Source organism: Homo sapiens, chromosome 5, assembly GCF_000001405.40.
Source record: "Homo sapiens chromosome 5, GRCh38.p14 Primary Assembly".
Taxonomy (NCBI): domain Eukaryota; kingdom Metazoa; phylum Chordata; class Mammalia; order Primates; family Hominidae; genus Homo; species Homo sapiens.
This window is the reverse complement of record NC_000005.10, coordinates 11,190,511-11,217,228: the sequence shown is the minus strand read 5'-3', so window position 1 is coordinate 11,217,228 and position 26,718 is coordinate 11,190,511. Positions and strand designations below refer to the sequence as shown.

Below are 26,718 nucleotides of genomic sequence, written 5' to 3'. Positions count from 1 at the left end.
TTACTTGTGTAGACAGGATTAGCCATCCATTGTGCAATCTGCCACCTTGGGAAGACTTTTTCTGTCTTCCGTCATTGAAATTATCTGAAAAGAGAGTCATTTAACAGTGGTTTGTGGACAATGGCCAGTGAGTTGACCATTGAGTCAAGAAAATGGACAAAGAGTACTTCACACTTGGTACTTCTTGGTACATAGAAGTGCAATGTGTGCACAGCACACATTGAGATTGCCTTGGTCCTATCAGACTTATATTTAGGCGGGCAATATAGATCCACCTCCTTCAGTAGGCACCTCCTCCAGCAGCCAAAGAATGAGCCCTGGTGGTTATAGCAGGAGGATGATCTATTGGTTACAACCTCCTGGAGGGAGCAGCTTGGACTTTGGGAATGAGTGGGCACAGCAACCCTCTGCTGTTTGCAGGTGTGCTGATCAAAGCAGCCACTTCTTATCCAGCGAGCCTGAAGTGCTCCTCATGAGCACATAACTTTGCAGCAGATTTTCCACCTATGTATGAGCACTGTATTGCTGCTGTAACAAATTTCCACACCCTTAGTGACTTCATACGACATACACTTACTATCTGGTAGCTCTGGGGCTCAGAATGCAAAATTGGTCTCACTGGGCTAACATCCCAGTGTTGGCAGGTTTGTGTTCCTTTCTGGAGCCTCTAGGGTGAAGTCTGTTTTCTCTCATTTTCCAGCTTCTAGAGGCTTCTTGCATTCCTTGGTCTATGGCCCCTTCACTCTTCAAAGCCAGCAATGGCTGGTTGAGTCTGTCTCACACTGTTGTTCTTCTGTTCTGACTCTCCTGCCACTCTCTTCGGCTTTGAAAGGAACTTTTTGGTTGCATGGAGCTCACCCAGATAGTTAATGTTAGACTCTTTAAGATCAGCTAATTAGCAGCCTTCATTCCATCTTCAACCTTAATTCCTCTTTTCCGTGTAACATGATGTATTCACAGGTTTCAGGCATCGGGACATTGACATCTTATAGGGTGGCGGTGGGGGGGCATTGTTCTGCCTACCACCGTGTATTAGAGTGCGGAAAATGCTCTCTCAGCTCTTAGAGGAACCCTGCACAGCTGCACGTCTGCCTGCAGGATGCCACATTACATCCTGCTCTGTGGAGCTATCTTCCTTCAGATAAGATTCAGGATTTTTTACCACTTAACAGAGCATTATTCCTTTGACTAGTTGGTTGGCTGGTCACATCAATCCATTCCATATTAATGACCACATGGTCTTGAAAGCAAATGTGTCGATTATATGTTGAATAAGTCCCAACTCTCGTTATGAAAATCCCCTTTTGAAAATTTCAATGTAAACCACAATTTCTTTAATTTGTCATTCAAAATCACTATTTCCCTCACCCCTGTAAGCATATCTATATTAGTAAATACCTAACAGTTTTCCATATTATCTCTGAGAGTTCCCAAAGGTAACATTTTCCCCCTTTTGGTAGTCTTCCAGGCTGTGTGTTTAATTTCTCTGTGATGAACATCCTAAGAAATGAATCAATGGATGATAATTTGTTTTGCAATTTAGATTTTTCCCCATTTTAGTGTCTTAAAGCCTAAAGAGTGACAGCAGAATGTGAAGATTTTGAATTATGAATAATCTTCCTTATTGTTCCGACTTTATCTGTCTCTTTACTATTTAACCCAAGTTCATTTAATGGAAATTGGATATTCAACCATGGACCTGAGTGCTACACTATTTCACATGCTTTTACATATTTTTGCATTAAAGAAAACAAGGCATCTGCATATCTATAATTAGCTAATATATTCAGCACTGGCTCCCACAAACAAGATGCAGGTGTACATAGGGCAGAGGCATTTTATACATAGTGCTGTCGTGTACTTGTGGGAAAATTACTCTCACTTCATGAAATAAAAAGATAAAGCTGTAAGAAAAACATTTTTAGAGGTGCATGATGTTTGCCAGACCAGTGTCATGATATTCATGATTGTATAATATTCTGAGTTTCCGAGATATCTTCTTAGGCACTGGAAGTCCTTGTTCCCAAGTGTGAATCTGCTTGATATATGATACTTCTCCTGACAGACAGACGTTCCAATCAGACATATTGCAGAAGTTCAAAGTCAGTAGTCAAAACTGCGCTCAGTCTAAAGATGACATGGATATATGGAATGTCTGCTGGCTGCCAGGCACTCCTCTCAGCCCTGTGGACACAGCATTGAGCAAGTCGGGCAAGATCTCTGCTCTCACAGCACTGACATCTCTCTGGGTGAGGATGGAAGCGGAAAATGAACCAATAAGTATGTGAAATATGTCAGGTGGTAAATGGAGCTAAGATGGAACCTAGAGAAGGGGAAGATTGAGGATGAAGGGGGAAGGGGTGGTCATACCATCATTCTTGATGGCTAATCAGGTTTAGGGGACACCTGCATGATGGAAGAGAAGCTACTCTGCAGACTCTGGGAGAACAACCTGCTCAGGAATTTCCAGAAGCCCAAGGCAATGGAAGCCGAAGTGAGTAAGAAACAATAATGAGAGATGGAAGCAGAGAGAAGACAAGGCAGGTCAGGCAGGACTGAAGGCCAAGGTTAATGATCTTCTAAATGTGGCAGGAATCATTAGAGGATTTTGAGCAGTGATCAACATGATCTGATTGGTTACGTATGTTTTTTGAAAATATGACTTTGACTACTGTGTGTGCAGAATGTAGAAATAAAAGACAAAAAACCCTCCCCTAAAGGCCCTGCTTCGTTATTAGTCCTCAGCATCTACCGGTCTATTGAAATCTGAGAGTATAATCATTGCCTTCCTTCCAGTCTGGAGAAAAATTGTATGCAATAAACAAATAACTCATCTGAAAATTTTTAAAGTATTAAAAATACAAACAAAGGTATTTATATAGCCTGTATTCTTTTAAATGCAAAATTAGAAAATCAGTAAATAAAACAGAGAACAAAGAAACTTGATTTTTATAAACCTGACATTTCATGCATGAAAGATTTTAAAAGAGTTCACTGATAAGAACTAACCTCTGAAAGTAGATTAAAATCAGAGCATTTTACTATTTATTATTGAGGTTATAGCCATTGAATCTGGTACACTCCAGAACTGAAAATCTTTGAACAGAAATTATTAAAGAAATAACAGCCTTCTCAACATCTGTAGCTATTTGAATTATTGGAAAGGAGAGTACCTACAGGCAGGCCCTCTGAACCCACAAGTGGTGGGTTACAAGAAAAAAAGAAAATTAACGCTACAAGCTTTAAATTGGAATAAAATAGTATAAAGAACTGAATGAATCCCATTTTGGTGAGGGAAGGAGGAGAAGACCTTTCTGAACGATTTTCACTTTTAAATGTATACATTTACTTATGGACATATATGTTTACATTGTTATATATGTATGACATTATACTATATATATATATATGTGCATATAAAATTATCGGCATGCGTGTAACATAGCAGTACTAACCCCCAAACTGCTAGGAGAGTTGTGAGCCTTCAGAATTTCTGCAGTGGCCTTCCATGGAATGCCTGGGAGAAGGTCTCCTTCTCCATTAGGATGACACATCAGTGTGGGATGCACTGCATTGCACTTGATGGGATTTTTTGGTACATAATTTTGTAAATTTCAAGGGTCACAGATGCACCAAATGTGTATTTTCTTATACCAAGATCCAAGTGTCATATCAATGTTCTGCTTGGGCTGAAGGACAAAATGAAGAGTGAATAATATTTAATCAGCTGAGCAGCACCATTAAATAAATCATATTTCAATTTGCCTTGTTGCGGACAGATTTCCCTGGTAACAGCTTTCTTTGTGTTCAATAGAAATGTGAAAAAATAAGGTTGACATGGTTCAGTTTGTGGAGTCTCGAAAGAGCGGGTCATAGTGGTCAAATCCAGCAGACTCCTCGGGGAGCTCCGGGGAGCTCTGAGTGGTGGAACTTAAGCTTTTCCTTTTTGCTCAGCCTCTGGGATCCCAGCGGCCTCCACCCTCTGATTGTGGAGGCCGAGCTAAACACAGAAACACAAGATGGCTCCACCAGTTACCTTGCTGGGGCTCAGAACACAGAGCTATTGGAGTAAAAACATTTAAGTTGATTGAAACAAAAATGGTTGAGAGATGTAGAAACCCCTGTGTGTGTTATGCTATAAATTTCTTATAAATTTCTAGGTGTCAGGAAAATGGTCAAACCATTGAATAGCTAAGATACACTTTTACATGATGGATAATTCCTTCTTTTGAACCAGCTCTCAAATTTGTTCTCATGTCTTCCTGGCCACAACCTCCCTTGTCATTCCTGCCCAGAAACCATGTGTGGGTCCTATCACCTCATTTATGTGTTTATTTCCTCATTTATGTGGTTTTCAGTGCCAGCTCCAGTCTAGTCTCCTCCCAGCATCCCCCACGCTCCCTGTCTCTTACCTCTGGGAGGGGCTCCGTGCAGGCCCAGGCCCAGGCCCTTACCGAGACCAGCTCCCACTCTCCAGCCTTCCACTGCTGGTCTCTCTGTGGAGCCAGGCCTCAGCCATGTGGGCTCCAGGAATCAGGGCCTGTTGACCAGAGCAGCTCTCTAGAAACGTGCCACGCTCTTACATTCTGTACTTTGGCTTTAAAATTCCCATACATCTTGTGTTCTACTTCGTAAAGTCTCCAAGTCTTTATTAGTATGAAAAATAATGGCCCCCAATCTTTGGGTGAATTTAAGGGCCAAGAAGAGGCACCATTGTCTGGCATACTGATGCCTGTCCTTTCCCTGAACCCTACCATATGTGCTCTCAACTTTAAAAAGCGTGGACCTACTGCACTCCAAGCATTTGAGAGTTTAATCGTGTACTACATTGTATAGGTCACCAGTTTTTCAACTCCCAAGAAGTCAGTTCAGCTGGTATTTCTTCCAGAAACAATTACCCCACCCCATTTCCTAAGGAGGCTGGTTTTGTGACTTTCCTGTGGGCTTCATACACTGTATTTGTTCCTGTGTGTATCCCCTTCACTAAACCATGACAACCCCAGGGAATGTGGACCAATGCTTAATAAATATCAGCTGAACTGAACAAAACTGGAATTATTTTCTCAACCACAGTTTAGTGTGGTTAAGCATTGGCTTTTACTACTACAAAAATATATCTTCAAAACATATGAGAGACTCCGTCACCTAAAATAGAAAGAAAAAAAAATATGTGCATAACAAAAAATACTTTCCATCATGTAATACATATAATAAAGCAAATTATATTCTATACAATTTTTACCGGTTTAATGAAAGTCTTGAGATGACTTAAATTTTTTTAAAGTCAGTATATTTTTAATTTAAAATTAAAATAAATATGTAAGAAAATTTTCTCGACATTTCTATCATAAATTCTTTTGGTGGAATATATTACTTTTAATTTAATACTCCTCATTTGTTACAACCATAGGCTAAGACACAAAACAATTTCTCTATTATTTCTGCATGTATACTTAGCATAACTCTATATTTTAGAAAGATGTTATTTTCCATTTTGCATGAACAAAAGAATAGCAGTTTTTAAAATGTGTGCTTTTGTCATGCCAGTAACATAGAAATTTAAATGAAGGGCTGTGTCTTTCTGAACTGCTTTGCCATCTGTCAGTCAACCAAAAACTACTGCTGTGATGATTATCAACACACTCATTTATTAAAAGCCCAAGGCCCCAAATCGTAGTCACGCATGATTCCTTTCTTTCAGTCAGACTTGATATTTACCACCCTACCTGTAAAACAGACCTAGAATTTGGCCATTTTTTAGTGCTTGTACTCCTGTCAATCAGTCAAAAGCTGCTGTGGTTCTCTTACCTGGACAAGGGCAGTGGCCCTAGCTGATGGTCAGTCTGTCCTCACATGGCACATGGTCTTTAAAAGCAATGAGTTAGGGCAACTTAAATTCCTGTCTTCCTCAGAGTAAACCCAGGGCCCTGCAACCTCATCTCGCCTCCCCCAGCCCCACTGCCTCTCTTTTGCTCATCACTAGCACACAGGCCTTCCAGGTCTCCCTCTCCTTGGGGCCTCTGTCACTTCATGTCACTGAGTCTTTGCTCTAGTGTGCGCTGACCCACTCCCCGGCAACACCATCACACCCTATTTATCCTTTCTTCCTTCTCTGACTTCTTTTTGGTTCTTATCACCCAGAAGAACCCAGTTGTTGATGGACCTAAAACTTGTCCGTTTAGTGGATCTTCTTTAAGCAGAAGATTACAAAATAATGACTAGAAAATTGCGAGATCCTCTTTCAGTAAAGCCGCCTCCAGTTTTCATTATTGCAAAGGTCATATTTGCTCCCTTGTTGGTTTCCTTACTTAATTCCTGACTCCACAGGTTCCTTGACTCCTTCCAGCAGGGACCATGGCCCATCTCACCTCCTCTAAGCCCCAGCACCTTGAGCAGACAAGGCCCACAGGAAACATTTGCCAAACAAGCAACTGTCCAGTCCTTATAAAATGAAAGCTTTGTGGGCAGTATTTGTGGGCCTCTTATAATCACATTCTTAGATGTTTTAATGATTTTCAAATAATTAAGTTACCTATCTACCTTTTGGGGTGTGTGTTTTCAAAATTTATGTGAGGTCATCCAAAATTCTCTTTGAGATGTTGAACAATCTGTGACTTTAGCTTTGCCACATACAAATAAATATGTTAGATCTTATCCTCTCCAAATGAAGAGATAATTAGATTAGTAACCATTCACCTAAAAAGTAGATATTTATGCTCAAGGGAGATGACTATTTCTTTTAAAAAGTAAGACCGGCATTTGAAGAGTATTTGTTATCAGTCAGTCTTAGATCTTTATTTCTTGTTTATTTTATTTTTATTTATTTATTTTTAGACAGAGTCTTCCTCTGTCATCCAGGCTGGAGTACAGTGGCAAGATCTAGGCTCACTGCAGCCTCTGCCCCCTGGGCTCAAATGATCCCCATTCCTCAGCCTCCTGAGTAGCTGGGATTACAGGTGTGCACCACCACGCCTGGCTAATTTTTGGTATTTTTAGTAGAGACAGGGTTTTGCCAAGTTGGCCAGGCTGGTCTCAAACTCCTGACCTCAAGTGATCTGCACATCTTGGCCTCCCAAAGTACTGATGTGAGCCACCACGCCCAATCTTATATCTTTATTTAAATTATCTCTATAAAACTACCCAGTGTCACACTCTATCCTTATTGTATTGAGGGAGTGGAGGAGGAGAAAGAAAAGGAAGTGAATACCTGAACCATCTAAAGATGTATCCTAACTTCAGTATGGATAGTATGCTTCCCTATAAGGATATATTAAAATTATATTTACACTTTTTTTGTTGTTGTTTGTTTGAGACAGAGTCTCGCTGTCTCCCAGGCTGGAGTGCAGTGGTGCGATCTCGGCTCACTGCAAGCTCCACCTTTTGGGTTCATGCCATTCTCCTGCCTCAGCCTCCCAAGTAGCTGGGACTACAGGCACCTGCCACCATGCCCGGCTAATTTTTTGTATTTTTAGTAGAGACGGGGTTTCACCATGTTAGCCAGGATGGTCTCAATCTCCTGACCTCGTGATCTGCCCACCTCGGCCTCTGTATCACTAGGATACTAAAGCTGAAGCAGTATCTTATATCTGCATACAGTTATTACTTTTGGAATTAAATTGATTCCATTCTTGTTTGTGTTCAGGACTCCTCATTCATTCTTGAAATCTCATAGATTTCCTTTAACTTATTTTTGCCCTTATTTGGTTCATTTAGTTCTTAAATTCTTGGAATGTACATGATCTATAGTCAACTTCTCTAAGACCTTTAGGTGTGATTCAGGCCTTTAACATTGGCTTGTAATTCTTTTTATCACACGTTAGCTCCTAAGTACACTGGGCTCTATTTCCTGGTTATCCATTCTGTTCCACTAAGCCATCTTGACTACTACATCAGTATCACAACGTTTTAACTATTGAGGCTTTATGTAGCATTTATAAATGAGATAAAATAATGTCTCCCTTGTATTCCTCCTTATTGAAATAGTCTTACTTTTTATTGCTTGCTTAATATTCCAGATGAAAGTTAGAATCATTTTGTCATGTTCTAGAAAATCCCTTGAATTTTGATTGAAATTGTGTTAAAAGTATAAATAAATTTTGGGGAATTTATAGCCTTTTCAATATCCACTCTTTTCATTCATGAACAGAGCATTTCTTTATACTTATTAATGTTTGTATTTATATTGTTCAGTAAAGTACTTTAATTTTATTCATGTTGATTCTTTACCTCTTTGGTAAAGAATTTATTCAAAGACTCAACGTCACTGGTAATTAGGAAAACACAAATTAAAACTAAAAAGAGATATCACTTTACAGCCAATAGATGGGTTAAATTCAAGGAAGAATTTAGCAATGCTAAGTATCTAAACTTCTTATCTATCATGTTCGTAGCCAATATTTTGTTTAGTTCTTTCCACCCGACTTTAAGTTTGTTTATAATGTGTGTGCATCGGTCCTTTTCATTATGGCTCCTGGCTTTTGTATCAACCTTAGGTCTTCCCAGTAGTATATAAATATCCATTTGTAGATCCCCCTAGTGCTTTTTTGTTTTATGTTTTACATTTACATTTCTAATCCATCTGGAATTTACTTTTTGTCATTGTGAAGAAATCAAATGCTGTGTCATCCCTTATGTGGTGAGCCTGTTATTACTAATTCTAGGTATCGAATCCATACTGCTTCATGATGAAATCCTAAAGTCTTGTAAACATGTGTATCTTTTCTGGAGTTTTTTTCTTCTCTCCCATTGTTATCTATTGATTCTGGGGTCATTTCATATTGTTCTGTATATTGGTGCTTTAGAATATGTTCATCTTTCCATAATTCTCTATTTTTCTTGTGATTTTTTTCCTATGTTCATTCTTCCAGATGAACTTTAGTGTCACTGTGTCCAAAAACAACTTAAAATTTACTGGGCTTTGGATTTGAACTGCTTAAATATTTAAATTAATCTGGAGACCAGTGGAAATCTTTATAACACTGAAGGAATGTGGTAGTCCATTTACCTTTATTCACATCTGCTTTTATGTATTTCAGTAAATACATGTCGTTTTCTTCATACAGAAATTTCCCAATTCATAACATATTTATTTCCTAAGTATTTTCTATACCATGTTGCTTTTCTGAATGGAATAATTTTCTGTTAATATTCTGACCAATTATTTTTAGTATATAAGAAAATTATGAATTTTTATATATATCCATGAGGAAGCTTTCATTTTTAAAATTTTAAGTTTGTATTTTACTGAATTTTCTAATTAATTCCAAAAGGTTTTTTCATCAATCTTGATAATCTGAGTCTTTTTTCCAAATGACTCACCTCCTTATTTCAGTTTTTTAGTTTTACTCTATTGACCATCACACCCACAACAAGGTTAAATGATAAGGCTGGTAACCGGTGTCTTCACTTTATTATGGATTAAAAATTGCTTAAATGCCATAGTAGTGGCAGGTTTTCTCAGAGTCAAGTTCAAGTTCAAATAGTCTGCTCAGTTAGCTGTGAAGCAAGGACTTACAAAGCTAAAGCCAATAACAAAGGCGAGTGGTGGGTTTGGAGTCCAGGCAAGGAAATCTAATCCAGGCCCCTAAGGAGAGACCTCTGCTTAATCAGGTGGGGAGGATGAGAGCTGTCCAGCAGCACACAAAAAAAGCCGAAAGATCAGAATTCAGAGAAGTGAGAGAGAAAGAATGTGTCAGCCCTCACCATCCATCTTTAAATATTTTAAACAATGTCCATCTTTATAGACAGTGAATATTTGTTTTAGGGTATGGTACTAACTATATGTAATTGATATAATAAAGTTAAATAACATGAGGCCTTGAATGTATTCTTTTTTTTTTTTTTTAAATACTTGAAGTTCTGGGATACGTGTGCAGAACTTGCATGTCTGTTACATAGATATACACATGCCATGTTGGTTTTCTGCACCCATCAACCCGTCATGTACGTTAGGTATTTCTCCTAATGCTATCCCTCCGCAAGCCCCACACCCCCCAACAGGCCCCAGTGTGTGATGTTCCCCTCCCTGTGTCGATGTGTTCTCATCGTTCAACTCCCACTTATGAGTGAGAACATGCAGTGTTTGGTTTTCTGTTCCTGTGTTAGTTTGCTGAGAATGATGGTTTCCAGCTTCATCCATGTCCCTGCAAAGGACACGAACTCATCCTTTTATATGGCTGCATAGTAGTCCATGGTATATATGTAGCATGTATTCTTATGAAACATCCAATAGATTAAATCTCCTACTGTGAAGTAGAGCATATATCTGCTTGAACAGATTGTATGTACAGATCTGCAGAGATAGGATAGTAGTCAGAGAGAGAGAGAGAGTAAGTGTAAGTGTAGCCTTTAAACCTGGGAACATGGTCTTGGGAGGAGAAATCCACCCTGCACTCACCACACGATATTTGCCTCTGACTGATGATGTTATGAAGTTATTCAGGGAAAGCAGTTATTCAAGTTATTCCAGGCCCTAGAATTTCTTAGGTACTTTCTAGTCTGGGTTCATCAACACTTTGTAATTTAGAGAAAATCATGGGATTTTAGCATCATGAAATATCTAAATGTGGAAATAAAAATTCACATTTGAGTTTAGTCAGAATGCACTAAGACTTACTGGAGGCATTCTTTGTAATTGTCAATGCTTTGTGATTTTTGCATTCAGTATCTGCAAGGACAGCTCAAAATTTACACGAAGTGATAGAAACCATTAGACTTATCAAGATCACATTTCCTGAGTGGTGTCTTTAGAAAAGAAACTTGAGGAATCGCTTGAAATTTTTTGTGTTTAAAAAAAATGGAGAGGCCTTTCTTGGGTGCACTTAATGAGTAAAGTTGAAACTCATTTACGGTGTTCAGCAATTCTGAGGACTCACAAGTGTGTTTGTGGAGGGTGTCTGCTCTCAGAAAAACAGTTGCCAGAAAAAAACAGCTTTGAGGTGCATTTGACCTCCAAGCCTGCTTCATTCTCAGAAAACTTCACTGCTCGTCTCACAGTTAGCAAGAGATCTATTCGATATATACCGTACATCCTAAATCCAGTTTATAAAGTTAAACCCTAAATTGTATTCCTTTCACTATCACATATCAACATTTTATTAAATTAATTTGTATTTTGGCCGGGTAAGAAAGCAATTAAGAATATCCTTTAAAAAGTTGATACAGTGGATGGTTCTGTGACACATAATGTTTACTGAGTACTTTGTTAAACAATTCACTTTTGAAATCTCATTCAGTCCTGAAAACAACCTATGAGGTAGGTTCACACTTTGTTCATGCTTTACAGGCATTTAAGTAACTTGCCTGGGGGAAACCGGTTTTAAGATTTGATTTGAACCTAGGTCTGAGGCAGCACCTCCAGTCACTGCAATGTGCTTTCTCTCGAAAACACAATTGAGAAAGAAACATAGCTCATCTTGGTTCACCTATCGAATGGAGAACGCAGGCCATTTCATACAATTGGAAGGAGAGAGATTCTCAAAAATAATTTCTACTAAAAAATTATGACCTTTATGAAATATACTTCTGTATTACTCAGAGGCAACTACATGGACTTACCTCAGTTCATATTTTATGGAAACTGATGGTTTAACTGGCTTTTCAATAAGAGTAAGGCTTGAAATTCAGTGAGGTAAATTGTGTGTTTTACAAACTGATAACCTTGCAATTTCTACATACATCTGCTTAGTCATCTAGTTTGGGATCTATAAAATTTGTATCTTCCAGTAGCTTATAAGCAGAGAAAATTATTGGAATTTTGTAATATTAAAAAAGAATGTGTAATAATTATATCATTTTAAAAAGCTTTTTCAAAGCCAGTACCATTGAAAAATAACAGTTAATTGAAAATTTAGCAAAAAAATCACCGCATTCCCTTATCTTCTTTTTAATCAGCTCTTTCTATAAACCAGTTCTCAGACATTGGGACTTGAGTTTTCATAAGTATCTGAAGAAAGTAATTACTATAGTACATAGTATCCATAGTTTGTGTGTGTGTGTATACTATATATGTGTATGTGTGTATATATGATATGCTATACATATATATATAGTATGTAGCGATAGTCTTGCACACTATTATTAAAATTTACTTTGAGTCTCAGGCACAGCCTAGTTTCTTTCAGCATGAACCCAGAAGCCTAAAGATATATCCATTTTATTAAAATGAAAGATTCCTGAGAGGAATAGCAGCACACACCCAGGTCCTTACCTGTTTTGAGGTCCTTGTATCACCAAATAATAGGTTGACAAAAGCTACTCCAACCTTTTCTGTCTTCTCTTCCCAGCTCCAAATCCCTCCCTTTTGCAAATGCAGAGCAGGTGAGCGATATCTTCTGTTGCCCTGAATGCCTGGGAGGCCACGCCCTCGGGGTCTCACTATCCTCTAAGCAACTTGTCATAGTATTTTTTTTTTAAATAAAGACAGATACCTCCCGAGAGGAATTCTATTGCAAGCTGTTTAAAGTATTTTTTTATCCACTATACATCATCATTATCATTACATTTTTATGAAGACTGTCATAAATATCTGAACACTGCTGTAATTGAATATGCTATAAATTACTCATTGATGTTGATATCAGTTTAATGATGATAGCTAATTCATTGGCAAATATATGCTATTGTCAATATATGCAGATTATGTTAAGAGTAACAAATGGGGCCCTATTTTTGCAATAGGTGCTATTGCATTACTTGCATATCTCTTGTGTATAATTTAATTACCTATCCATTTGTTTTCTGATTTGAAAGGCTTAGATATATTCTACCTTTTAAGGAAAAAACAAGGAAGATACCCACTGCATCCTTCTTTTGCATGATTTTTAGATACTCTCAGTTCTAGAGTTTAAACTGTAAACATACTTCAAAGCAGCGGATTTTAGGGCAAAGGGTATGAAAACCATTTTTATTCTCCCCTGGTGCAAACTGGGAATACATTCTAGTGTTCATTCCCCAGAGATTATCTGCATCAGGTTCAAGAATGCCCTCACTGTAAACAACCCAAAAACAAAACAAAAGACAGGCAGGGCATAGTTTTGCTTTATTTGATTGGTTAATTCATCTTTTGTTTCCCCTGGGGATGGGGTTTACCAGCCTCCACCTCCCTTACTCCTTGTAGATTACTCTCGACATCTAGATTCCTGAAGTGCACAGCTAAGCAGAAAAATAAATGTGAGCCATTGACACAGGAACAACTGACTAAGGTCAATCATTTGTCAAAGAACCACTTTACTCACTTAAACTCAATAAGTGAGTTTAAGACTGTCTATTCAGGTCAAGTATGAAAAGTCCCTTCTGGTCACTGTCCAATTCTATTAGGTCCAGGAAAGTAGCAGATATGAGAATTGTTCAGTCTAGATTCAAATGAAGCTATCATTTCCCCGTATGTAATTCAACATTCATTGTTTCCATTTTAATCATTTGTATGCATTTTATTTTATTGTTGAATTATATATAAATAACAAGATATACATTAACTAGCATTTTATTGACTTTATTTTAATGCTATGAAACCTAAAATCTTTCAAGATTTGACTTTTAAAGAATTCTGCATGAGGCCTGGCACAGTGGCTCACGCCTGTAATCCCAGCAATTTGGGAGACCGAGGCGGATAAATCGCTTGAGCCTAGGAGTTGAAGACCAGCCTGGGCAACATGGCGAAACCTCATGTCTTCTAAGCGAATCGCTTGAACCCTGGAGGCGGAGGTTGCAGTGAGCCAAGATCGCGCCACTGCACTCCAGCCTGGGTGACAGAGCGCAACTCTGTCTAAAAACAAAACAAAACAAAACAAAACAAAAACAATTTTGCATGAAGATGATTAAAGTAATAATGTGAGGAGAGGGTAAACTGACCTGCAATGATCATATGTTAACAAAAACCTGGGCTCAGCTTGCTGGATGTGGAGTGATCGACTAGGGGGATAAATTGGAACTAGACAACTTGTCGTTTTGGGGGAGAATAAATAAAGGTGCCATTTCAAAGAAGACAAGTTTCTTCTGATAGGTTTTCAGAAAGTTGTACATTTTAAGTGTTTAAAATAGGTTTGTTTGGAAGCTTGGAAAGATTGCATGTTAGGTACCAGAAGAAACTGGTAGATGGATTGGGTGCAAGAAATTGGAGGAAGGGGCCAGGTGCGGTGGCTCATGCCTGTAATCCCAGCACTTTGGGAGGCCGAGGCAGGCAGATCACCTGAGGTCAGGAGTTTGAGACCAGCCTGACCAGTATGATGAAATCCCGTCTCTACTGAAAATACAAAAATTAGCCAGACGTGATGGCATGTGCCTGTAATCCCAGCTACTCGGGAGGCTGAGAAAGGAGAATTGCTTGAACCCGGGAGGAGGAGGTTTTAGTGAGCTGAGATCGTGCCATTGCACTCCAGCCTGGGCAACCAGAGCGAAACTCCATCTCAGAAAAAAAGAAAAAGAAAAAGAAAAAAAAGAAATTGGAGAAAGGAAGGATCCTGGAGAAAAGCAAAATAGAGGGAAAGTGAAAAGGACAGCATCAGAGCCACGCACAGCCACCAGAAGCAAGAGGACTGGAGTCCATGTCAGGGCCTCCCTTCTGGTCCTGATGGGAGAGGGGAGGCTGCAGGGGGAGGAGGGAGAACCAAGGACCTGGCCATCCCATTTCACACATGTGGCCATTTACATTTTAATTCTGAGTAATGTTTGGCTTCAGAAAACAGAAGTAGGGTTCTCACATTCTTAGATAAAATTAAACCCCAAGAAAACAAGTTTTAATATAGAGGATCTGGTGACCCCAAATAAGAGCAAAAGAAAAAGGTTAATTGACTTACTTATGTTTATCTAAATAGATTAAAATCAAATTGAAAATCTCACTATAAATTTGGGTATATGGCATTAATTAGGGCCATACTGAAAACATTGTGTTTTCATTTTAGCATTTAGAATTCATGCTGCATTCAGTTTGAATTCATTTTCCCTTTTAATATATTTTAATCATTTAATTCATTAAATCATATGAATTGGAAATGTATTATAATAAATTAGGAATATTAATTATAACATCCAATATAGCTAAAATATATACATATGAATAAAATGCATAGATTGATTGATGATGCCATCTGTTTTTAGTACATAACCAATAGATTCACTGCAAGAATGGATTTATTATCTCTTTTCAATGGTTTCATCATTATTTAAATAACTAAATTCAGAGAACTTTGAACTAAATCACACATGGGCAAATATACACTCATAGAGAAAGTGATACTCATAGTTTAACCTTTTTTGTACACGTGGAATATCCCTTCTCAAGCACTATAATAAAGTGGATGTGCTTATAATCTGGGTACATGAACAAGACACCTATATAGGAATACAAACATCATCTCTCTTGGGTGGGTGCCAAGCAAGCCCTGGGTAGAACTGTAAGTTGGGTAAAGTTGTTTCCCACTTCTTTTTCTCTTTCCTTATTTGACCCAAAAGATCCTTGAGTCTCCCTTACCCAGGTGCTGTGACCACCCTCAGGCTGGGCAACCATAACCCCCTCAACCACACTGTCCCTCTACATCCCTCCCTCTTCCTTCCCTGTCATGTTCCCTTGGAGGCACCATATGTGAAACGCTGCATTCATGGTTTCCAACTTAGGGATTTAGAGTCCAAGAGTGCTCTGAAGATTTCCACTTTTTCTGCTTTCATTTGCTGATGAATGAAAATAATTCCCGTAGGCATATTCGGAATCATCAGAGGCCACCCTGTATGAATGAAGCATGCTCTATTTTGTTTGTAAGCCGGATTGGAAGAGCTGCAGGGCTGAGGCCTCTGGATACATCCTTGGCTGTTCACAAAAGAGGTGTTTGTTTGTTTGTTTGTTTGTTTGTTGTCTTTAAAGAGGGATATTTCTTCATTTTGAAAACACTATTTTAGCAAAGCTGAGCAACACCAACGTAGCAAGTAATATATTAATTAACCCTCTCCATTCATTTGACAAATATTTCCTGAACATTTATGAGGTGTCTGGCATTGCACTGGGTTTAGGGATAGGGATATATAACAGAGACATTTCCTCCCAGAACACACATCCTAACAGGAGAAGACGGACAATAATGATAAACATAACAAATAAGTTAGAACATGACAAATCCTATGAAGAATTCAATAGCACTTGAAGATAAACAAGAATGCTGGCTTGGGGTGAGGGTGTGGTTCTAAGTGCAGTTTTAAACGGTGTGGTTAGAGTCACCTCACAGAGCAGCACTTGGGCACTACTGAAAGAGCCTGGGGATGGCCTGGCACGGTGGCTCACGCCTGTAATCCCAACACTTTGGGAGGCTGAGGCGGGCGGATCACGAGGTCAGGAGATCGAGACCATCCTGGTTAATACGGTGAAACCCTGTCTCTACTAAAAATACAAAAAAAATAGCCGGGCGTGGTGGCGGACGCCTATAGTCCCAGTTACTCGGGAGGCTGAGGCAGGAGAATGGCGTGAACCCGGGAGGCGGAGCTGGCAGTGAGCCGAGATGGCGCCACTGCACTCCAGCCTGGGTGACAGAGCGAGACTCTGTCTCAAAAAGAAAAAGAAAAAAGAAAAGAAAGAAAGAGAAAAGAAAGAGGCTGGGGATGTAGCCAGGTGTCCCAGCACATCTGTGACATGAATGAGTTTTTCTGTAATCAAAAAATTAAGTAGAGAAGATGCTAATCCTTCGATCCCTGAAGAACGGTGAAGCATAAAGTGTAAAAGAAGGGTATTCCTGCACGAATCATGCTCTTTGTCCATATACATGCAAAAGTTTTCAGATGCAGCTTTGCTAATATAGCCTGTGTGTTAAGTAGCCACTTTATTTTGTTTCTAATTTAAATTTTAAAATTGTTCCCCAAATCAAAGGGCAGCCAGGAGAACATGCATCTCAAAATACACAGCAAAAATATTTTGCATTTACTTATAAAAGATTAAAATTTTCTTTTGATAAAAAGAAGAGTAAAATGTAGAGTGGTTTTGTTGTTGTTGAATCAAATACCTAAATTAAGCATAACGTGCCTTGGCCTCACACCTTCTGTCTCTCATGTAAGAGACGTTCTTATTTCCGCGGGTCTTCTGAGATAAAACTCCTTGTGTCAATTCTTCCAGTCTCTCGTTTCGCTTCTGATTCCTTTGAAATGTTTAGAGCATATCCCTATTAAGCATAATTTTAACATTTTGTGTATCATTCCTGCAGCCCTTTAAGACAATGGTTAAATTTAATAAGTCTAGGGAATGAGGATCACTCTAATGCCTTTTATTTCTTCATGTGCTTCATCCATGAGGTTGTGGCATATTTTATGGAGAGAAATGTCTAAGGCACTCAATATGAAGTTAAAATCACCTTTCCAAAATTCTATAGTTCGAAAGAAATACATTTGGATTTTTATTGGTAGGATATTAAAGCAAATACCGGCAATCAAATATAAAGCAAACACTTATTTTTTTCTTGTTTCCTTTTGTATGCCTTAATTCAGTTTGGTGCGATTAATTGTTAGCAGATACTTTATATGAAAAACATGTTTTGGTGTAGGTAGGGAAACCTTACACTGTAAAGCAAAAGTGGTGTCCTTTGCTCTTTCAGATAAGGAGACAAGGAGGCATCCAGCTCCTGGTGGACCTGTTGGATCATCGGATGACCGAAGTCCACCGTAGTGCCTGTGGAGCTCTGAGAAACCTGGTGTATGGGAAGGCCAACGATGATAACAAAATTGCCCTGAAAAACTGTGGTGGCATCCCAGCACTGGTGAGGTTACTCCGCAAGACGACTGACCTGGAGATCCGGGAGCTGGTCACAGGTTAGAATCATTATTAAATTATTATATTATATCTCAAGATAAACTTTCCATTATCCAACACAGAGGCAAATGTACTAATCAAATAAATATTGTGGTGTTCTAATAACATAGGCGGTCTCAATATGTGTTTTCAAATGAGTAAACAACTGAAGAAAATGGTATCAGATGTGACATGCATGGATTCATATTCAATAATCCAGTAAATGTAATCCTCACTAAAATTCTGTGATCATGAACAGTTTTTGTCAGTGGATGAAGTAGTAGTTGAGCATCGTACAATACCCAGGGCTCTTTATTAGAATAGCATTAATAATAATTGATCAAAGGACAAGGTGTGTCAGTTTTTGCTAATAAGGTATATATTCTGGTTTCTAGTGTGTTTAACAACAGACGGCTTATCCTACTTAGCAGTTAATTTTTTAAATGAAATATTCATGTCTATTAAAAGTCACAATTATTACATATTAAGGAATTTTCAAAAAGGGAACATTAAAGCTTTTTCATGATTGTAGAACTTTTGGGCTTAGTAAAATGGAGATAATTATAGTAGCCACACCATAGTCGTGAAGGTTTCATAAATGAGACTCTGTAAAACATTTGGCACATATATGGAATACATGTAAACACAGTCCGTGTTAGCCATAAGCTGTCATCCCTCCCTTTTAAAATGTGCAGTGTTACTTGGAGTACTAATGGCCCAGGTGGCCTCAATACAGCATTTCAAATAACTCTGCTGCTTACTCATCTTAATCAGGCTCACTGCCATTCTAGGTGATATTTGGTTTTCAGTTCATCAAAAAGTACCCCATCAGCAAGTATTTAGCAAATGGATTGCATAGTTGACTGTCTAAAAAGATCTTTTAATCATCTGTGATTCCGTCGACCTTCTGTCTTAACTCTAAAATTTCCTTGTAGCTATGCTGATGAAGTAGATGAAAATGTGTTTTTAAAGAAAATACATTATTCAAGCTAGAGAGTCATAAATATTTGTCCAGTCCCGGGTCAAGACTCCCAACTTTCGTATATTTTCTTAAATGTACACTCTTTGAGATTATTGTCACATTTCTTTCTCACTCTTGGTTGTATTAGAACTAGATGTAAATTGGTTTTTTTCTTTTGTTTTTTCTTTCTATAACTAGAAAATCATCTTTGTGGAAAAAATAATAATTGTTAAAATTGCCGTGCTACTAAAGCAATGTTTCACACCAAACTAATGTGGGGAGACATGAGTCAGGGAAAGTAAAAGTACTTTTATCTACACAGTATGATATCTATGATAGTTTAGGGGTGAGTTATGTAACTGAAAATATTTCCTACCATTATGGTTAGGAACACCCATCCTTATATTTGTGGGTTGTGCTTAAGTTGGAACTGCCTGCAAAAGAAAGAGCTCAGTGCATGTGATGGGGACAGGAGGCTTCCGTGCAGTAAGACTCCACCAACAGATACATGAAGCCACGAGAAAGGAAGACCAGCAGAGCACCTTCTGTGTACACCGTATGGATTCATTTATGATTTGAAAAGAATTGGATTTGACTACAATTTGAATTTGCTCCAATACAAAATTCATTGTGTAGAAGAACCCCTCTGTTGTGGCTTCCCTGATTGCCAGAAAAACTCAGCCACGTGCCAAAGGTTGAGATGAATGATGGCTTAAAACAGAATGGAAATCCCATACCCCTGACACATGACATCTTCTGCAGCATGTGTCTTATCCTGTGCTGCCATTTGAAGCAGCTGTAAAGGAACTGACCGCAGTCTACTCCATTGCCTTCGACATTGCTTCCAACAGCTTCTGGGTGTCGGCCGTTCACGTGTGCCTGGGCAACATCAGAAATTCCTATGTGAGCCCCATTTGGAAAACCAAAGGCATAACCTCTTGTTTCTTTTCCTGGTGAAACGCAGGCTGTAGGAAGGATGCTTGCTTGATGTATGGAGAGGATACACTCTTATTCCACTTCTTTTAAGAAGAAGGAGGTTTGCACCCACTGTCATGTCTTGACCCACTGTGTTTTCATCAGCATGTGCTGGGGGTTTGAGGCTCTCTGTCTGTCTCCTCCTAGACGAAATGCTGTCTTTTGCCGTGATAGCCACATCCGTTAAGATGGACAGTGGTTGTTACTTCAATAGATGTTTTCTGCCTTTCTAGAGCATTTTCATGTTGTGCTTGGCTGAACTTCAGCCATCAGTTTCACCTTTCTCAAAGAAAAACATATCAGAACATGTTGACAAGCTGAACTTCATGGTTTCTGAAGTTGCCATCATGGATTCTTTAGAAAATCCACAAGCCACTTGGCCAAGCTTCCACTCTAGTAAAGGAAATTGGAAGAGAGCATCTAGGAGAACATTCTAGTGTGAAAAGAATTGCTACTGTAAGCCAGTCTAGTGATTGGCTCTAGACAAAGCCTTCTGAGTTTCCTTACTGACAGAAACCTGAGGGGGCCTGGAAACCTGCAGGACTCAGCTGACATCTGCACAGTCATTGCCTCAATGATGTAAAGCAAGCCAAAGCCAGCTTCACTGCACAAAGCAAACCTAAAATGAGGCAAAAGGAATTCACCTCAGAGAAAGCTTGGATTCTGTTGACCAAGCCTTGGATGCCCTCAGTTGACCACACAGTGCAGCCACGGAGATGTCTACACCAGTGCCCCCTACAGTGGTGAGGCTCTGCTCTGAATGGTCAGGAGTGTGCAGCACTGGCTGCTAAATATTTAAAGCGATAGGCCTGACAAACATGTCCACATTTTGGGAACTTGCTAGATGAGCCGCAAGGGAGTGGATGACTCCAAGAGGTGGAGTAGGGTACAAGAAGAAAGGCTGGCTTCACGTCTTTTGTCGCAAGGAGCCACTGCAAATCTGTTTAGGAATTAGGTCAGGTATCCATGCATGAATTAAACAAAACAAAGATCTAAGTGTAAGAACTATACCCCTTACTTCCTTTGCAATTCTCCCGTGGATCTAATACAGAGCTCAGCAAAGAAAAATGACTTAGTACGTTACAGGAGCCCCACCAGTACAGGGGAGTTTTTTCTGATCACTTTCCTACCTATTATCTCATGGATGAGAGCAAATGTTGAACAAAAAATTACAGGGGAAGGCAGGGTGAGGTCTCCCTTTGAATTTCTTACTTATTTGTAGACTAGGATATATTATAAACAAATATTCAAAAGAACAATTTTAGTGATTTTTAAAAAACTAAAGCACAGTTTATAAACCAGATTTTAGATTAGACCTAGCTGTATATCCAGAAGAACCTATGATGTCAAGAGTGCCAAATTATAAATAAGAAAGAAATGATCTTGCAGAGTTTTAAATTATGTATTGAATATTGCTTGGCAAACAATTTGAACAATGATAAAGAGTTAAAATTGAGATATTTACATGCATTTACATTCAGCGCATAAACATGCATGCTGAAAAAAACAGCTCCCTGTTTGCACGGCAATATCTCTTCACAGCAGAATATATTTTGCTGCCTGCTATGTCTTGCAATAAATAATTTTCTTCCTATGCAATAATTACTATGAGATGATGATGATAATTTTATTTAAATCCAATCGAAGCTATTGTATGCTAGCCATTGCTTGAAAAGCTCCGAAGCAAATAAACTTTGATTAGAAATGCTGCACGTCCTTTGGGCCTGACTAATATAATTTTTCTCTCTCTAAATATGGAAATAATTGACCAAAATTTTGAGTATGCCCAACTAAAGATTTCAGAATGCTTTACAAATTATAATAAAATGGTTTTTATTAAACTATAGAACTTAGTAAATAGGTTTCATTTTGGTGAAAGCACGTGTCTTGAGAGCTCTGCTTCTCCAGGAGCACAGTGTCCATCCGTCTGATGCTTCGCATATCCAGATGGCCTTTCCTTTTAGTTAAGGAGTCGGGCTGAGGACTTAACCTTGTCCTTCATTTCGGGCATCATTAATTCCCTCCTTTCTCCATAGAAGTCCCTTCCAGAATCTTCTGTCTTCAGGACGGATTTGGATATTGCTCTCCAGACCTGCACAGCAATCCTGGATTAGAACTTCTGTTTCCAAGATCCTATGCCCTCTTCTCTCTTGTTTTTCTCTCTCATAAGTTCCTGAAAAGGGATGCTTAGGACATTAAATTCTAAAAAAATAAGTCTTTAACCCTCACACATGAGTGATGTTTACTAGATACACAATTCTAGATGGAAAATTCTTTTTCTCAGGAATATTTTCTATAATTTAATTTTAACCTTAATACTATTAAATTCTCTTGTGATATATCTAGGTGTGTGCCTTTAAAAAAATCGTTGAACATTTTCAATTTAAAGAGTCATGACCTTCTTCAGTGCCAGAAAATTTTCTTCTTCTCTTTTAAAATAATTCTTTTGTCTCCATTTCCTCTGTCCTCTCTTTCTGAAATTAGTCAGATTTTGAGCCTCTTGGATTATTTCTCTTGTATTTTCTTATGTAATTTGGAGCCCTTTGCCTTTTTATCATATGTTCTGAAAGAATTCACTGATATCCAACATTTATTTTCCCCCAATTTTTCTGTGACTTCCATGCTCCCACTACCAGGGGCCCAAGAGAATATCATCTCTTTAAAAGAAAAATTCTAAGAATTCTCTTTTGTGTTTTTTAATAGCTCCTATTTTTGTTTTATGAATGTAAGATATTTTTGAATTTCTCTAAGGATATTAGTTAGAACTGAAGTTTGTTTTTATCTCTTTGGCATGAATTATCTCAATTTTTTTCATTGTCAGCTTTTCTTTTTTTATGGTGGGCTTTTTCACTGATTTTGCAGGCTTACTTCAAATCTGTGGTGGTCTTCAAGTTTTCTGCTTATTTTTAAAATAGTGGAATGGAGTTTTTCTGAGCTCTCTGCATGTCGGTGAAGCTTGTTCACAGTGAAGCTTCACTTCAGGGCGAATGGGTGGGAGGGAACTGTTGTAGTGGGGAGTCTTTTAAGTGTCTTAATCAGGAGGGTTTTTCTCTAAGGCCCAAATATCCTCAGTACCTTTTTGGTTCTCCCCATCACAATCCATCTCTGTGGAGATTCTTCTGAGTTGTTTATTTTGTTTGTTGGCCTGGAGGAAGGGGACAGTACTTTCCTGTCTGCTGGGTATTCTTTCAACCTAGGTGAAAGTGGAGAATGAGAGGTGACTACTTCCTTTCAATCACCCCTTTCTAGCTTGTCTTCCCATTTCTGCACCCCAGGTGCCTGCCATCTCTTGAGTATAAATCTTTCCTAGTGTTCCACCAGGAAAGTTAGCCACCTCCCTGGGATAGGGTCCCCTCTGTGTGTATCCTGGGCTATGCTGGCTTCTCCCTGAGCTCCATCTGTCAGCTCACCTCTGGCTGTTTTGTATCTTACAGAAATGTGATGAAATTTCTTGTCTGAATTACTCCTTCCATTCTCTTCTCTATTCCATTATGTCCATGGTAAATAACATCTTCTGTCCTGTATGAGTTCAGAACTCATACAGTGAACTCTGAACAGTTTTGAATATTAAACAAAGTATAAATATGTTTACAGATATTATCTCTGTTGCTGACAGAAGCCAGGCTGGAGGCCTTCTTTAAGGTCAGCCAAGTGACCTTGCTAATTTAATAGAAGTTCAGGTATAGCATTAATGAAGCACCCTGCATGAAAGGAGACACTGGAACAGAGAGGATGCATTTATCCCACTAACATCCCCAGCCTATTTTTCCTTCACCCTCTTTGTTATGATCACCCAGAGGCATAGCCCCTCTCCCCAGAGCAGGAGCTAAGTAATTTGTCAAGAAAGCTCTTCTTCTATCTTGATGGCACTTTTTGGGGATCACCTGGAATTCTTGGTGGGCAATTCATATATTACACCAAGAGGCACCAAAAGGGGTCAGAGGAGCAAATTATTTAAACCAAATTCAGGGTTACTATGTTCCCAAGATTTAAAATTAAGTCCAGTTTTATTTCTTATTCCAAATAATGTCCAGGTACATTGTCCAACCTAGCAAATTAGAGGTTCTATGAGAAGATTAAACAACATCCCAAAGATAAAAATGAATACAGACATTTCAATAATGAAATGCCAGCAATGTAGAGATGCTTCAAATTTTAATATAAACCCTACCAAATATCAAATTCCCATGGAGAAATTAAAAATCAAAGTTTAAATCCACTTTCATGTTGAAGTCCGAAGACATTAAGGTTCAAAGGAATTAAAGTCAAAGAATCAATACCTCTTGCCATTGTGTGTTAAAGTTCAAAATCCACAATTCTTAAGTTAGCTGATGTGTAAAAATCATCTTCTCCCAATTTTTTATTCTGCACAGTCTCAGCCAGGGGGATTCTTGTGCCTCTATGGGGCCTGGGTCCTTTAGCAGCCTGAATTCGGGGCTGCCTCACGCTGGAATTGGCCACATACTTTCAGGACCTCAGAGGATGCAAGATTGCATTGTCAGTTCTCCCTCCTCTCACTGTTCAAAGGTGTGAACAATGGTCCCTGCCCATCAAATGTAGCAAGCAAGTCATTGTGACCCCCTAAGGGAAAGTATCCCAGGCACAGGCATGTTCCCAGAAGCCAGCCCTCACCAGGTTTGCCTAGGGTGTCAGTGGAGTTTGTATTGGTCATCTGTGGCTGCTGTGACAGTTCACCACACATTTAGCAGCTTAACACAAGGAAGATTGATTTTCTTACGGTTCTGGAGGTTACAGGCCTGACACAGACTCACCTGGCTACAATCCAGCTGTCACCGGGGCTGTGTTGCTTTCAGGACGCTCTAGGGGACAGTCCATTTCCTCGCCTTTTCCAGCTTCCAAAGCTGCCCACATTCTTTGGCTCATGACCCCTTTCCACTGCCTTCAAAGCCAGTAGCATTGCATCCCTGATGAGTCCTCCATGGTCACATTTTCCTCTGATCACTGCCAGAAATGATTCTCTACTTTTAAAGCCCCGTGTGATTAGATTGCGCCCACCGGGCTGATCCAGGATTCTCTCCATGTTAGTCTCCCCATTTTAGATTCTTTACCTTCATCCCATCTGCAAGCCCCTTTTGCCATGTAAAGGAGCCCATTCATAGGTCCTGAGGAGTCAAATGTGGACACCTTTGGAGAATGATTATTCTGCTCCCCACAGTGTCTGAGGGAAGTGAGCACATGGAGACCCCTTGGATTTAGTCGGGGGATGCCAGCCTGGTGTTGTGTGGCTTTGAGAGTCCATCATCTGTGGACTTAACCTGAATTGGGAGAAATAAGTCCAGGCAAAGGTTCATTCTGGCATGATGCATTTCCCACTCGAAGGGAGATTCCTCGATTCCCATTGTCTCTTCTTTAGGAAACTGGAATCACAGGAATTGTTGCCACCTTGCAACATTTAGATACTGGCAGCAGAGGCAGCGCCTGTCTCCAGGTGCATCATGGTTTGACCAGGGAGGCAGAAGCACTGTAGATGACATGGAAAGGGGGACTTGTTATCAGGATTAGACCTGACACCACGGTGAGAGCTGGTGAAAACGCCTGTGGAAGGCTTTGCCGCTGTGTCTGGTGATGGGCCTGCAGTTGACACGGGCCAGCAGGCAGCAGTCAGAAAGAACAGCAGGATGTGAAGCAGGGGAAGCCAGAGCCAGCTGCCACTCATGGGGACAAATGGCACCCCTCTTTTGCCTCTCGCTGGCTGCAAATCTGCCACATGAGTGATACACAAAGCTGCCGCTCTTTGCCACGGAACTCTGCATGATTATTCCTGGCCAGGACCTAGGGAAGTGGAAAGAGGGGATGTGGTGGGAGCTGTCAGAGCTGTGGCCTAAAAGGTGGAGCAGCAGCAGGGGGTACGTGCACACACTGCAGCAGCCCTGATGCCCTCTGCCCGCAGCCCTCAGAGCTCAGCACTGTGCTTCACTTGGACCTGCCAGGCATCCCGCAGATGTCTCCATGGACAGTCTCAACCTGCAACCAAGCAGGGAGGGAAATCCTGGGAAGCATAGTTGCAGTTCAGCTGGGGTGACACAGCACAAACCCACCACTCCAGGTCTTATATGAGGTGGTTTCTTTCCCTTCCTACATAATGGAAACCTTTGATTTTGGATTTCCTCTATGGGAGTCAGGTGTTTTGGTCCAGTGTCCCATGAGTGTGTTCTGTCCCGTGACAAGCCTTCCACTGTCCTGTGGTTTGTTAGCAGGTTTTCCTCAATCCTATGGGGCAACAGTGATTTCTCTGCTTTTTATGATGGAATTGATTTGCTCCCCTATCCCTACGAAGATTGCAAAATCACCCTCAACAGACTCCTGAATTGAAGCTGCTCTTGCCATTGGGGGAACCTGCTGCGCCTTCAAGCCCAGACCTCTGCTGTGTGCACTGCAGGCCACTGTCTCTGCTTGCTCCTGCTCTAGGCCCTGAGAAATGCATTTTTCCAGCACTTCTTTTTACTGCTGGGATGGGATGTCCTTCTGGGATTCATTTTCCTCTGCTTTCCTTCTGCAGATCTCAGGAAGGCTCAGTTCTCTTGAACCTGCTTCCTAAGTTGGACACTTTGCTTTTCAGCACTTGGAAGTGTAGCAGTGTTTGCTGAAATTGAATCCTGCCTGCCTTCTACTTTTCCGTTGTTCGTGAACCTGAAAGCATTGCACTAGAGGCAATATGCTTTTCTACCATTCTCTTCTAGATTCTAGAACAGGACTTGGCAAGCTTTTTCAGTAAAAGGACAGATAGAAAATATTTTAGCTTGTAGGCCCTAGGTCTCTGTTACAACTACTCAACTCTACCTGTGCTGGATGAAAGCACCATAGATAATACATCAACAAATGTGTATGGCTGTGTATTAAACTGTATTTATGCAAGCAGGTAGCTCAGGCCATAGTTTATAGAACCTTCTATTTCATACTGTCTTCTGCAACCAAGTTCTAACAGAATAAAGAAGAAGGCCACATTGTCACCTCATTACTGCTAGGGGTTGGGTTGGAGGCCAGACTCCAGGCCTTTTAG

The 26,718-nt window shown here is 39.7% G+C and overlaps 1 protein-coding gene across 12 annotated transcripts in view; it reads left to right on the top strand.

The window, feature by feature from the left end:
- CTNND2 (catenin delta 2) overlaps window positions 1-26,718 on the top strand; it is a 932,611-nt gene that overhangs the window by 687,218 nt on the left and 218,675 nt on the right. For all 12 annotated transcript variants that reach the window (NR_109988.2, XM_017009074.2, XM_017009072.2 and 9 more), the window contains one exon: window positions 17,568-17,781. Coding sequence is in view for 11 of the 12 variants with exons in the window: in XM_017009074.2 (XP_016864563.1) it covers window positions 17,568-17,781 (214 nt within the window). In the remaining variant the exon portion in view is untranslated. The remainder of the gene's footprint in view (window positions 1-17,567; window positions 17,782-26,718) is intronic.